General features: G+C 39.3%; 1 long non-coding RNA gene and 1 pseudogene across 1 annotated transcript in view, besides 1 other annotated feature; one reads left to right on the top strand and one right to left on the bottom strand.

The window, feature by feature from the left end:
* Positions 1 to 5,360: 5,360 nt before the first annotated feature.
* On the bottom strand, positions 5,361 to 5,972 carry EXTL2P1 (exostosin like glycosyltransferase 2 pseudogene 1; annotated as a pseudogene).
* Positions 9,821 to 14,816, top strand: part of LOC107985962 (uncharacterized) — a 243,604-nt gene continuing 238,608 nt past the window's right edge. The window contains exon 1 of the long non-coding RNA XR_007087312.1: positions 9,821 to 9,969. This is a non-coding gene — a long non-coding RNA (uncharacterized LOC107985962). The remainder of the gene's footprint in view (positions 9,970 to 14,816) is intronic.
* Positions 13,917 to 14,418: an enhancer, noted in NCBI's record as "OCT4-NANOG hESC enhancer chr2:176699169-176699670 (GRCh37/hg19 assembly coordinates)". NCBI's record gives its function as "activates a minimal SCP1, AML or CMV promoter by ChIP-STARR-seq in naive H9 embryonic stem cells {active_cell/tissue: H9 hESC(naive)}" and the evidence as "EXISTENCE:reporter gene assay evidence [ECO:0000049][PMID:30033119]".

Genomic DNA, 14,816 nt, shown 5'->3' with positions numbered 1-14,816 from the left:
TTCTCACTGTTCAACTCCCGCTTATGAGTGAGAACATGTGGTGTTTGGTTTTCTGTTCCTGTGTTAGTTTGCTGAGAATGATGGCTTCCAACTTCATCCATGTCCCTGCAAAGGACATGAACTCATGCTTTTTATGGCTGCATAGTATTCCACGGTGTATATGGGCCACATTTTCTTTATCCAGTCTATCATTGATGAACATTTGTGTTGGTTCCAAGTCTTTGCTAATGTGAATGGTGCTGCAATAAACATACATGTGCATGTGTCCTTATAGTAGAATGATTTATAATCTTTTAGGTATATACCCAGTAATGGGATTGCTGAGTCAAATGGTATTTCTGGTTCTAGATCCTTAAGGAATCACCACACTGTCTTCCGCAATGGTTGAACTAATTTACGCTCCCACCAACAGTGTAAAAGCATTCCTATTTCTCCACAGCCTCACAAGCATCTGTTGTTGTCAGGAAACATCTCTAACTGATCAGAGGACATTCATTGCCTTCTCCATTCCCTTCCCTTGTTTGGAGCTCTGCTCTCCAAATAAACACCTCTTTTCTGCCCCAGATCTACATTGCATCCATTCCTGATGTTCTGATTAGTTATGTGTTGACCTATTGCCGATTTATTGTTATAGGTGTGTCTTTTTGAACATAGTGTGGTCAGATGAGCAGCAGATTGGAAGTTGGTCAGCTTAGATCCTAGTCCCAGCCCTATCGCTGACTAGCCATGTGATTTCCCTCATCAATAAAATTCTTGCTCTGTGTGCTACCTTATTAGGATCTTGTGAGTTTTATCATTTATGACAGCCACCATTTAGTGAGCACCTTTAATCCTTGTGATGCTCTTGCAAAGTAGTTACTATTCTCCCCATTTTAGAAGTGGAGACACAAACTAGAGGTTAACGGCCTTAACTGTTCTCACTGCCTGTGTGATTTGGAGCAACTGCATTAACCCTACTAAGTCTCAGCCTCCTCATTTGGAAATTAGAGGAGATAATGGCTCTGCCTCCGAAGTTTGTGAGGATTGAAGCACATGATGTGTGGAGGGCCTTGGACAGTCACACATAGTAGGGCACTCCAGAATGTTTGGTGATATGGCTTGTCAAGAGTCACATAGCTGGAGAGGGCCAGAGCTAGATTTCAGTCCAAGCCTGTCTAGCTCTTTGAGCATATGGGAGCAAGCACTTGCTAACACAAGTGCAAAGTGGCCTATGAAGGCCCCTGTCCTGGCATAATCCTGGGAGAGGGAGAAGCCTCATCTTCCTTCTCACTCTTGGAGTATTCCTCTTTCTCCTCTTTCACCTCTAGACTGTTATCTGCTGTCCTATACCCCACTGGGAGCACAAAGGGAAGACCATAAGAACTGGAGCCAGTTTTTTCTTTCTTAAAGGCTACAGGCATGTCTTTTAAAAAATGTGGTAAAATATACATAACAGAAAACTTACTATTAGTAACATTTTGCAAATTCATAATGTTGTGCAACAATTACTACTATCTAGTTTCAGACCATTTTCATTACTCCCAAGGGAAATCCCTTACCTAATGAGCACTCATCCCCCATCCTTGCCCACCCCCATTCCCTGGCAGCCACTAATCTGCTTTCTGTTTCTATGGACTTGTCTATTCCAAATACTTCATATAAATGGAATCACACAATAAGTGGTCTTTATGTCTGGCTTCTTTCACTCAGCATAACAAAGCTTGTCTGCATCTCTTTCCTTCTCCCCACCAGCTCCAGGCAGATTGTGAGGAAAGATTTCCCACTGTTTATTTTTGGCAAATCCTCTTTTTGCCTGCTGACTCTCACCACCATGGTGGCTGATTAGCTTCATTATGAAAAATCTCGCTATTGCTCTGGAACCTTCCTAAAATGGTCTGTCAGTCCACCAAACATGGCAGAATCTGCTTGTGATAGAAAGACTCTTCAGTCTCAGCAATTCGTGGTCTTTGCTTCTGCAGATTAATTCTCTCTTCCAGCAGCAGCTAACTCTTCCTTTCAGAATATGAGATTCAAGATGGCATGTGTAAGGCAGAGTTTTTAACCCTGCCTCCCTCATGATCTATGTAGGAGTCCTGGCAAGCCCACATACCACTTAATAATCTTATCTGGAAATGAAGAACTTAGATGCATCGACTGTGCGAGGTCCTGGAGAAGGAAGAAAATAATTCACAGGTCTTTCCAAGTCTAAAATGCTACCTAATGAAATGGATATTTTTCCAGTGAGGAACAATGGATACCAAATTGCCACCTATAAAAATGTACACACAATTAAGAGTTCGGGGAGTTTACACAGATGGAGTGGGTCAGTGATTGGAACTAAAAAATCTGGTTCCTTTGATATTTGTATTTCTCTTTACAAATGATCGCAGTGGTATTTTGGTTATGTTACATAAAACCAAACAACAGTAACGATCAAATATACCAAAGGAGCAAGAGGAGTTTAGGTTGTGGGTAGTGGCAGAGGCAGAAGAATCTGAGCCATCTCTAGTCTTAAAAATCTGTGAGTCTGAGTCCTCTTTGAACTTCTTGGGGCTTTGTAGAAGATGAGAGAGGAGACCCCACATGACAGGAGGCAGGGCAGGGCAACTTGTCATCTCCTTACCCATCTTGGCTTATGCATATTTTGCATAGTGATTTCTGTTTGGAAATTGATTTACAGCAATTGCAGGTGGCTGAGAGAGCTTGTTTCAAGGCAGGATTTGAAGGGGAAAAGAAAGGACCTTGTCCAAAGCTTTCTCCAAGGCAGGTCATGCTGAGTGAAGGTTCCTTGTTGGAAAAGAAAGGAATTCCCCATGGGGTCCTGTCGTCTCACTCCAGCTGACGGCTCTATTGCAGGTATGGTGCCTCCATGGCTGTCAGTCATTTGAGGGGAACCTCTGACCCCCAAGACCTCCCTGGGTTATTAAGGGGGATGGTATACATGTGTCAGGCTGGTGATGGTGTATGTGACACAGAAACTGTCACAGAGCAAAGATGGGGGAAGCTGAGCACCTGCTTCCTCAAAGCAGCCACCAAGTCATGCCTGATGTTAGTGCTCCATTAGAGGGCGTACTGCCTGAGGGTCATATGTGGGGTGTGTGTGTGTGTGTGTGTGTGTGAGAGAGAGAGAGAGAGACAGAGAGAGAGAGAGAGTATGTGTGTGTGAGCATAAGGGGCCCAGGGAGAATATCTTAATGGGATTTCTAGTCTTCCTTGTTTATTTCACACACACAATTCTGAATTAACACCTCCATTCATGTACTTGATGTTACCACTGAATAACTATATAGAAGGATTCGATGTCTGGAACTCCAGCCACTTATTTCTGCTGACTGTAAAACCATAGCAGTTGGTGAGCTGTTCATTTAGCTAGCACTAAAGATGCCCAAATAACACCCCCACTGATTGTTGCTCATCTATACTTTGTAAATATGCTTCTACATGTGGGTACACACATGTATTAATCTCATTTATTTCCTAAATATGAAACTGGATTTGGAATAAATCCATCAGGAATATGGGCCTAACAACACATTTAAATAGTCACCAATTGGTACCAATAGCTCTGTAATAATTTGTTCTCATTTCAGTTTCCCAAACTGAAGAGCTCTTCCTCGGTCCTTTCTTATCTAGAACCCATAAGTTCAAGAGATTCAGAGAATTTTCTATTAGTGCTGTGATCTTTGCCAGCCGTAGTTTAGTCTACAATTTGATCTATTCTGGGGTGTAAGTACTTGTTAATGGGTTTTGAAGGCCAGAATAATAAATAATGCTTAGGAATCTTTTATAACAGGCCTGGAATAGATTTTTAAAGCAAACTGAGGTAGATTTTCAACATGTGTATAAGGTACATATATTCTGTTCTGGCAGAAACCAGAACAGTTCTGGTGGAAAATTTTCTTTTTTCATTCAATAAATAATTAGATATGCAAAATATGTGATGTTTAAACATGTTTACCCTAATGGGATAGTCTTTAACCAAAGGGATGGATATTTTATTTTATTTATTTTTTTAACATAGAACACAGGGATAATAAAAGTTTATTTTATTTATCTGCTAGAGGAATCCCAAGAGGCAAAAAAATACAACCAATGTTGGACAAAACAGATAATTGACATTACCAATTTTTAGTAAGGTTCTAAGTGTTTTGTTTTTTGAAATCTGATTGCATTAAGACACATATACTCTCCAATGTAAAAAAACACACCCTATACTGAACTAAATGCACAAAAGACCTCATTATTGGAACATTAGCCATGATTATTTTAATATTCTCCCATCTTGCAATTTTGAAAATATACAGGCATTATGCAAGAAGAAGGAAGAGGAAAAGGAGGAAGAAGAGAGAAAGGAGGAGAAGGAGAGGGTGGTAAACAGAAGCCTAGTTAAGAATTCCTTGCTCCAGTAGTGAACAAGGACTAAACACAAACAACGGGTGAAACACAGATACTAATTCACATAACAAAGAGTGGGCAACCATACCAATGAACTGATGCAGACTCTGTATAGAATTCCTCTGCTATGACTCAGTTCTTATTTTCTCCTCTTTGTATGTAGGTGAAATTTCATCATGATGAATAGTACCTTGGATCTTTTTTTTGAGTTCTGAATGTAAGTGTTTGGCTTTGTTTATAATACAATCTTTTAGTATCCAGAAGATAACCAATGCTCTAATGATAAATATCTTTTGATACAAAGGGTTTTAACTTCTGCCAGGCCCTACTTATTCATTTTTTCAGAAGGTATTTTATATGTTTCTTAAACAACACATACATTATGTAAAATGTAAGAATTAATGTACGTTCTCAAGGCCAGATTCAGTGACAAAATGCCCTACCTGAATCTATAACACATTTACTCTTTGCTGCATATAAGTTACATATAAGAAATATAGGCTATATTGTTTTGTGACTCATGCAGTAAATGTTTACAAAAATCAAACAACTAGACATTCTTCAGCTACTAAAATTAACCGTCCCAGTCAATAAAGACTTAACAAAAATAAAAGCACTGATGGTTACATCAAAACCATGCTGGACTGAGTTAGTCCTGGAAGAGCTAGTTGTCAGGGCCATAAGGAAAGCATTGGCAGCTGCAAATTTTCCTCTTCATATGCCACTGAGACTATTCTCTTCTCAAATGGCATTACCCCATACCACAGGCTTTTGCTAAAGAGGCATTTCAGTCTTCAAATGAAAACAATCAACCTTTCGTCAAAAAGCAGATAAATGCCTTTCTTGAGTTTCTGATCCTGAAAACAGCTTGCTATAGGTCCTTAAGGCAAATGCCAGGAGTCAAAGAAACTGTAGAACAGTCTCAAAATGTAAACAATAAAATCACTGACCAAGGTGTTATATCCCTGGATGAAAACTCTTCATAAGAAGACCTAACTGGATAGGACCAACTTCTTGGCTTTTGAAGGTAATGTGAATTTTATATCCTAGAAGCACTGCAGTTTTTTTCTACTGTAGTGACCTCCAGAGTAGATAAAATTCATGATGTTGCTTAAAAAAAAATACATAGCATGGAGAAGCTACTCAAATACCAAGCAGTTTTCAGGTTTGTTTGTTTTACTTTTACATTTTTCTTCTGTGGTTGGCATATGGAAAACCAAACTGGGAAATCATAATGTTGGACTATTTTAAGGGCATGCTATCATATATATTAACAAGCTTATTTATATAATAAGACCTCTGCAGAGCATGCTCAGCTCGATGTCACATTCCAGAATAGCCACTGTTGGTTTCTTTTTCAAAATCGTCCATGTTTACATGCTTCACAAATATCCCTGAAGTCTTCTCCGTATGCTTGGCAATGATACAATTCATGGCAATATCATCATAGTTTTGAGTATCTTCTATCAAAGCATGGACAACTGTGGGTTGCCTCTGAAAAAGTTTGAGATATATGCTATTGAAGAATGAGCCTCTAATCAGTACCATAGAGTACTGGTCACCATTTCCAGACCCTGGTGCTTGCATTTCAAAACCTCTGGTTGGATGTTTTAAACCTCATGACTGATGTGTGGATTTGGATCACATTAAACTTACTGACATAATGTGTCAAAAGAGGAGATGGGATCCTGCAGGGTTCTGGGAAGTAATAAGATTTCTTTTTAGTGGGTCCTGGATACAGAGAGGATCTTTTCTGGGAAGTTTTAGATTTACACACTTTGAGAAAATAGAGTTCAAGAAATATGGGTTTCGATTAGGCGCAGTGGCTCACGCCTGTAATCCCAGCACTTTGGCCAAGGTGGGTAAGGCAGGTGGATCACTTGAGGTCAGGAGTTCGAGAACAGCCTGGCCAATATGGCAAAACCCGTCTCTACTAAAAATACAAAAATTAGCCGGGTATGGTGGTGCACACCTGCAATCCCAAATACGTGGGAGGCTGAGGCACGAGAATTGCTTCAACCCCTGGGAGGTGGAGGTTGCAGTGAGCTGAGATTGTGCCACTGCACTCCAGCCTGGGCGACAGAGTGAGACTCTGTCTCAAAAAAAAAAAAAAAGAAAGAAAGAAAGAAAGAAATATGGGTTTCATTTTGAGATCTGTTCCAGGCCTGATGATACTCAGGGACTGAGACATAATATTTAGCCTGAAAAGATGCATTAGGAGTATGATTCTTCAAAAACCTTGAGTATTTCTGAGCTAAATTCCTTACTAATATGATGTGCCATTTTAATTTCTAATGCTTATGATAATGTTTATCAGGGAATTTCCTCTTCTTTCTTTCTCTCTCTGTCTTTCATTCCCTCCTTCCCTCCCTCCCTTCCTCCCTCCCTCCCTTTCTTCTTTCAATTCTTTCCTTTATTTTTTGAGATGGAGTCTGGCTCTGTTACCCAGGCTGTATGGAGTGCAGTGGCATGTATCAGAGAATTTCTGATTAACCTTTGTTAAAAGAAAATGTACACTCAGGTTAAATTAGGAATATGTCATCCAGTAATACTAACTAAAATTAAGTTTATTCCTGAAAGTTTCTAACCATCAATGGCTAGCTTGGGGATGGCTCAATACGTTAGATATATTAATCCATTAAGTGGAAGAATTCTTTCTGTTTGTCCCCTGATGCATCTGAGTTTTGTTGTTGTTGTTGTTTTTAAGACAGAGTCTTGCTCTGTCTCCCAGGCTGGAGTGCAGTGGCACCATCTCAGCTCCCTGCAAGCTCCGCCTCCTGGGTTCATGTCATTCTCCTGCCTCAGCCTCCTGGGTAGCTGGGACTACAGGTGCCCGCCACCACGCCTGGCTAATTTTTGTGTTTTTAGTAGAGATGGGGGATGCATCTGATTTTGAGACCCCTGCTACTGAGCATCTGTATCAGTGAGGGTTTGATCAGGGAAGTGGACCCTCTTGACATGGGATAAGGGATTTATTCTAGGGATTAAACTGTAAGAACTGGTGAAGAAAAAAGCAATTTATCCAATGAAGACAAATTCCTAGGTGGCAATATGTAGGCCATTTTATTTTTATGCATTTTTTTCAATATTACTTATTAAGAAAAATATATATGACTTACTGAAGCTTTTTGGTTATTTGAAGAAATGAAGGTTCAGTTTTCCTGTTAATTTGTTAACCTTTTTTTTTGTTTATTTCCTATTTATTTTTACCCATTTGCAAGAAATTTGTAACATTTTGATATATATCTGTTACAGATTAAATACCTGACAGTAATCTCCACAATATATTTATTAATTGCCCTTTGCTTATCATATGGTTTGGCTCTGTGTCCCCACCCAAATCTTAGCTTATATCTCCCATAATTCCCATGTGTTGTGGGAGGGACCCAGTGGGAGATAACTGAATCATGGGGGCAGGTCTTTCCTGTGCTGTTCTCATGATAGTAAATAAGTCTTATAAGACCTGATGGGTTTATAAGAAGGAGTTTCTCCGCACAAGCTCTCTCTTTGACTGCTGCCATCCATGTAAGACGTGATTTGCTCCCCCTTGCCTTCTGCCATGTTTGTGAGGCCTCCCTAGCCATGTGGAACTGTTAAGTCCATTAAACCTCTTTTTCTTCCCAGTCTGGGGTATGTCTTTGTCAGCAGCATGAAAATGGACTAATACAGTTTATATCTCTGTTATTAACGTTAATGATTTCCTTAATTGGGAATTTATTTCTTAATCAGGATGTGCTATATAAAGTAAAGGTCATTTTTATGTTTAAAATGAAAAAACCTGTGAAATCTAGACATAATATTTATACACAAAAACCATTATTTACTCTGTCAAAAGCACAGTCTTTTCTTGAAAAATGAAATAATATTAATAGAACCAAAAGATGTGTTCTGATAGTGCTATTCTTTTCCCTACTATTTTTTATAAAACTGGGTCACCAGGACTGCCTGATGTAATTCACTAAAATATATTAGACATTTACTTTGTGCAAGGCACTGCATTGAGAGCTGGTCATGGTAGTGAAATGTAACAGCTGAGATATATCCGTACATTCTTGGCTATTATTAAAAAGATAAAAAAAAACAGATGTTGGTGAGGATGTGGAGAAAAGGGAACTCTTATTTAGTGTCAGTGTGAATGTAAATTAGTACAGCCACTATGGAAAGCAGCATGAAGATTTTGCAAAAATCTAAATATAGAACTATGATACAATCCAGCAATCCCACTACTGGGTATTTATTCAAAGGAAAAAAAATCAGTACACCAAAGGGATACCTGCATTGCATGTTTATTGCAGCAGTATTCACAACAGCAAAGATATGGAATCAACCTAAGTGTCCATCAACAGACAAATGGGTAAAGAAAATGTGGCATATATTCACAATGAAATACCATTTGTCCATAAAAAAGAATAAAATCATGTCCTTTGTTGCAACATGGATGGAACTGGAGGTCAATATGTTCAGTGAAATAAGCCAGGCACAGAAAGAAAAATAGGCATGTTCTCACTCATGTGTGGGAACTATAAAAGTTGATCTCATGGAGGAAGAGAGTAGAATGATAGATACCAGAGGCTGGGAAGGGGGTGTGGTTGTTGCAGGTGTATGTGCAGCGATGAAGAGAGGTTGATTAATGTGTACAAACATAGTTAGATAGAAGGAATAAGTTCTAATGTTCAATGGAAGAGCAGTGTGACTATAGTTCGGAACAATGTATTGTATATTTCAAAATATCTAGAAGAGAGAAATTGAAACACTCCCAACACATAGGAATGATAAATAGTAGGTGGTGGATACCTTAAATATCCTGACTTGATCATTACACATTGTATGCATGTCACAAAATATCACATGTACCCCATAAATATGTACAAATATTACGTATCAATAAAAACTCAACCAAAAGAAGAGATATCCTTATATTCTCTAAGCTATCTTTGATTTTTCTTCTGTTATTAGCTGAGATTTGTTTAGATAAAGTGCAACAAAGACTTATTCATTGTGCATGCTGTGGTAATTGACCTGCCCAAACTATATCAATAGATGTTGTAGTGGTTTTGTACTGTCATTTAGCTAAGGTGGAACTACACTTCCCAGAATTCCCTTCTCTATATGGTTCTGGGTCAAGGTTGGCCATAACAGAAATTTACTCCAGATCTGGGAGGCAGAAGTGAAGTAGCAGACATTAGCTCTGAAAATCTGCATAGGGCTCCAGGCTCCCTTGTGGCCCTAGGCTCCCTGGCAATATCGCTGACCTATTATATATACTGACTCACCTGGCTTGCAAAAGCCTGAGCTCACAGCTCCTGCAGCTTCTGCTAGACCTCTTCCTTCAGTTTCTATGAGTCTTGGATGAGGCACGTGTGCAGCATCATGGTGAAGGGCAACAGCTTATTTTCCAGTCTCTTGCATCAGGTTAGAGATGATGAGAAACAAATGGAGGCTCTGGTTTGTCCTCACAGGTTCTAATTTGTCTTTTTCTTTGTTGCTTTCTGTCCAGGTTTCTTCCCAACTGCTGCCCTGCTCACCTATAGCAGTTGGTTTCAGGCTCACCACTAGATTTCCATAAACTTCTTCCCCAGCTACCTCCGTTGCATAGTAAGTCTTGGTTCCAGATCACTTATAGTGGTCCTGCTTCCTTGCTCACATGGTCACTGATACTGATGCTCTGTATCAGGGGTGTAAAAACGGAATGTCCCAGGGGCCACGTAAAGTAACATAAATAAATACAGCAGGTCTAATGTAAGAAAAATCATGCAGCTTTCTCAGTCTTTCTTTTTCCCACTTTTGGTAGAGATATAGAATCAAAGAAATGTACCTCTATTGTAAAAAAAATTAATAACAGCATGAGCATATTGATAAATGACAATGGACTCCTGGCTGGGTATCATGGGGACCATAGGAAGAGACAGGGACTGCCAAACTGGAGAGGTGAACTTACATCAACAGGAAGGACACCCCCAACTCAGCTCCAGATTATGTTACCATGTTTCAACAGAAGCCCCAAATGGGGTGTTTGTGTGACTTCTCCTGAATTTTAATGTGCTGATGTACTTATGTGTGCATACACACACACACATACACACACACAGATGCAACCATAAAGGCAATCCATGGGCCAAATACACATGTCCTCTGCTCTGATTGGGGCAGACTGTTAGCCAAGGTCCTTGGATGAGGACAGATGGGTAAAAAACAAAAACAAAAACAAAAACAAAAACCAAGAGGAATACTGGGGAGGAGAATGACCAAGGGAGATAGGAAGGACCCCCAGTGTTCTTGTGGGGTGGACACTAAGGATGGCTAGAAAATTCCATTGAAAAATAAATAATTATTTTGCTGTGTGTGTGAGAGAGAGAGAGAGAGAGAGAAACTAATAAGAACTACAAATTTCACAGTAATTTGCATTGTACACAGGGATTTCATAGATGCTATTTCATTTATTCTCATTTACTATCTTATCTACTATTTTGGATGTGAGTGGGATCAAAGATGAATCATTTCTGGTTCCTGCCCTCAAGGGTTGTAATCCATGGAGGAGATTGATATGTTTAAATCCAACTATAAAACAAGAATGAATGTGATTAAATGTCATGGGGCTGGAAGAAGTTTGACAAATAAAAATGGGGAATGGAAAGGGTACTGGGTGATACAAAAAGTTTGAGCAGAGGCCCCAAGGAGAATGTGAAGTCAGCAGCAAAAGCTACTATAAAGAGCAAATCAGTAGCAAATGTTTTACTAACACAATTAAAATTCATCTGTGAACTCCTGAAACTGGAAGGAGTCTACAACTACACTTAATGTGGTCAAAATGTTTATCTGTCAATGGCTTGCATTCAAACAGCCTCAGTTTGAGGGGAAAGGAAGTCAAGGAACACTGCTGTCTCTTCTAGGCAAAGGAGCACTGCATTGAGTGTGGAATTCAAGATCCAGAAATGACAGCCAGATTTGTCTGGAGGGAGGAAAAAGTGCTCTTAGGTTTGATGATGTCCTACAAAAGGTCAGACCACAGGCAGAAGGCTGAAACCAAGGGCTGTCAATTGCCAGAAAAGACAGCAAATCTATTTAAAGAGTTTGTAATAGATCATTAAATGGGCTGTATTTATGTAACCGAGAAAATTTAAGTCAAATCTGACTGTGTCTCGCTTCTGCTTAAAACTCTGTATGCTGTATTACAGTTCAGGCTCCTCTTTGGCATGACATAGTCAAGGCTGCTTAAGACCCGACCTTGGCTTCCTTCTTTTATGACTCACCCTGGCCTGGTGTGTATCCTCTGCCTGCATCCCCTATTCTCCTCAGCTATGGGAGAATGAATTTTTTGGCCATGAGGCACTACTTGCAGTTGTGCTGATGTTTCACACTCTGTGCCTTTGCATATTCTATTGCTTTTCCTCAGAATGTCCATTCTTCTTTTGATTACTCTTTAAAACTCTGTCAAAAGTGTTTGGTGGCTCCCAACTCCCCAGTAAAATCTTCTCTGCCAACTCTGTATGGTGTGTAGTTGAATTTTTGACTTACTATGTTGTGATGTAATTACTTAGTCTGTTATTCCATGTGCACTATTTAATGTGTGGACATATTCACTTATCAGCCCTTTATTGAGTGCCTATTCTAATCCATGTAAGAGATTTTACAGTGTGCTGTGGATGCAGCAGTACATGGAATATAACAAGTTGTTAGACTCATGGAGCTTCCTTATTAAAAAAGATGTGTTGAACTGAAATGGATTCACAAGATGATTTAAACTTTAGGTTTAAATGTTATGTATTGACAAGACATTCAGTTTACAAAATCATAATTTCAATCTGTTTTAAGTTTACTATTTTGTAATTGTGTGTTCTCAATGTGTTGTTGAATTCCTGATTAATGTAGTCACGGAGCTTATTTCTGCTGTGTTCTCTCTATAGTGGTGGTTGGACTTCTTGAAGTTTTGTGATTTTGTTGATCTTGGCTATATTTAGGCAATCTGTCCACAAAGGCTTGAATCCTCTTTGGAAGAGGAATCTATTTTCAGCCTTGGTTGCAGGGATTCCACTTTCCTAACTCTTAGTTGCCTTTTGAGGATGTGCCATTTAACACTTTATCTCCTGAAGTGCATCTGCTTTCGGTTATTTTTGATCTTTCAGACATCCAGCATAAGTTCCAGGGCCATATCCTCCCCACCAGATCATCTGTAACCTGTTTGATCCAATCCTGGTTCTTCTTTCAGCCACTGGCCACTTACTCTATGGTTCAATCAGGAGAATGGAGACAAGTTTTTTTGCTTTGATTCTGTTTCCCTGCAAAGCCCTGAACAGTGCTTGTTCTGTCGGAATCTGGCAATTTGGAGTAGAATCTTTTCTCATGTAACACTGATGCTGACATTTACACAACGTACTTCTTTTCTTTCTTTTTTTTTTGAGATGGAGTCTTGCTCTGTCGTCCAGGCTGGAGTGCAGTGGCACAATCTCGGCTCACTGCAACCTGTGCCTCCTGGGTTCAAGCGATTCTCCTGCTTCAGCCTCCCGAGTAACTGGGATTACAGGTGCACATCACCACGCCTGGCTAGTTTTTGTATTTTTAGTAGAGATGGCGTTTCGCCATGTTGGACAGGCTGGTCTCGAACTTCTGACCTCAGGTGATCTGACCACCTCGGCCTCACAATGTATTGGGATTACAGGCGTGAGCCAACACACCAGGCCTTGATGTGCTTTTAAGTTATTTTATTTGCCTGTCTACGTTAGTTAGTCTGAGTAACTGAGTAGGTCATCACTTTTTTTTCTATTGTGCGTTCACCTCTAAACTTGACTCTTTTGAACTTTTAAAGACCGTACTTAATAGAGTTATGTTTATTTTGGTAACAAGTTTGAGTTATACTCCTTGTAACATTCTGGCAGTCCCCTCCCATTTTTCTAGAAGTTTCTGTTCCTTTAGACTCTCTCTTAGCCAGGGGTCTTTTTCATTGTTAAATTTTAGGGGAAGATCTAAACAAACATTAGCTATAATAAAATAAAACAAAACAAAAACTTATCCTTTACCCAACTTAATCTCTTCAATTAGTTGGCAATCAAATTATTTTATACCACATCCAAAATTATGCAGCAGACAATGTAATTTAGTTGCCAATGATTTAAATGATATTTATTCAGAAAGGATCCTTATATGCAAACTTTTGCTGCAGACAAACTTGAATTAACTACTTTGATGCTCTTCAGAATAAACAATAACTCTAAAAGGACAAACTATCCCAAAGCAAACACTTTAACAAGGGAAGCTCAGTGTCTTATCATATTTTGATGCTATGGAAAATAAACTTGCCTCTTTAAAGGGAACTAACTAAACACAAGGTTCCCGAAGAACTGAATGTAGAGCAAATTTCTGAATGAATCTCTTAGGATTTGTTTATACTCTGAATATTTAATAGCATGGCATTGCAAAATTTGAATTATGCTACTCAATTTTAATGGTTAATCTGCTTTAAAAAATACACAAGCTTAATTGTGACATATAAAAGTCCTTATTTAGGGTAGATTTCTAATTTGAGTGCTGTTGGCCCTGCTGTGTAAAGAGTCTCCTGGGTGCAGATTTTTAAAAGTGTGTGCGCCTTTACATTTCGCCGTTTAACAATTTCTCTTTGCCCAGTCTGCCCCAGCTTCTATGCAAGCCAGGAGCAGACAATAGATCCATCCTAATGGAGTTGTATACTTGCCATCTGTAGGAGCAGCTGCTAGCCCACATCTGCACAATATGCTGGGACTGAGAGCTCCGCTAATCTGCATAATAAGGAGGAGGCTCATCCCACTCCAGCTAATAATCACGAGCAATCAATGCACTTCATTCCCTTACTGCCAAGGGAAGCCGAGCTGGTTTCCTGCTCTGAGTAGAGAGGGGTCAAGTGAGACGGGATGGCCTGGAGCTGAGAACCACTCGGTTTACAATCTAGGTTGTATCAGTCTGGTGGGACCAGGGTTTGGGCTTTCCCTTGAGTCATGCTGACACATAATAACAAAATCCTGGAAATTGGGATGAAAAGGCGCTAGAACATGATTAAGATTGCTAATCAGAAGTGCTCTTGGAGCAATTAGAGTATTGAACAATTTGCATTTAAAAATGCTGCTTTTGTGGGAAAAAGGGCACAAGTGAGTTTTTGGTTTAATTGTGAGCTACTGTGAGTCATTTGGTTTTCATTGATTTTTTTTGAAATAACTGTGCAGTGCTGAGGTTTGACTTTTAAACCGTCTTAATATACATACACCCCTACTGTGAAAAAGGCACACTATGTGAATTAATCAAATATTTGTTTATTTTCATTTGTGATGTCAGGGTGAAATGGCACTATCTTGGAGGCAGTAGTACTGGTAGTAGAAAGGTAACTATTGAAATGATGTATTTCTATAATGTCCTAAAATCACTTTCTTATTAAAGGAAATGCTAAAATGACTTAATTTCTTTAGAATAACCATGTA

Source organism: Homo sapiens, chromosome 2 (assembly GCF_000001405.40).
Source record: "Homo sapiens chromosome 2, GRCh38.p14 Primary Assembly".
Lineage (NCBI taxonomy): Eukaryota > Metazoa > Chordata > Mammalia > Primates > Hominidae > Homo > Homo sapiens.
This window is presented reverse-complemented; position numbering and strand designations above follow the sequence as displayed.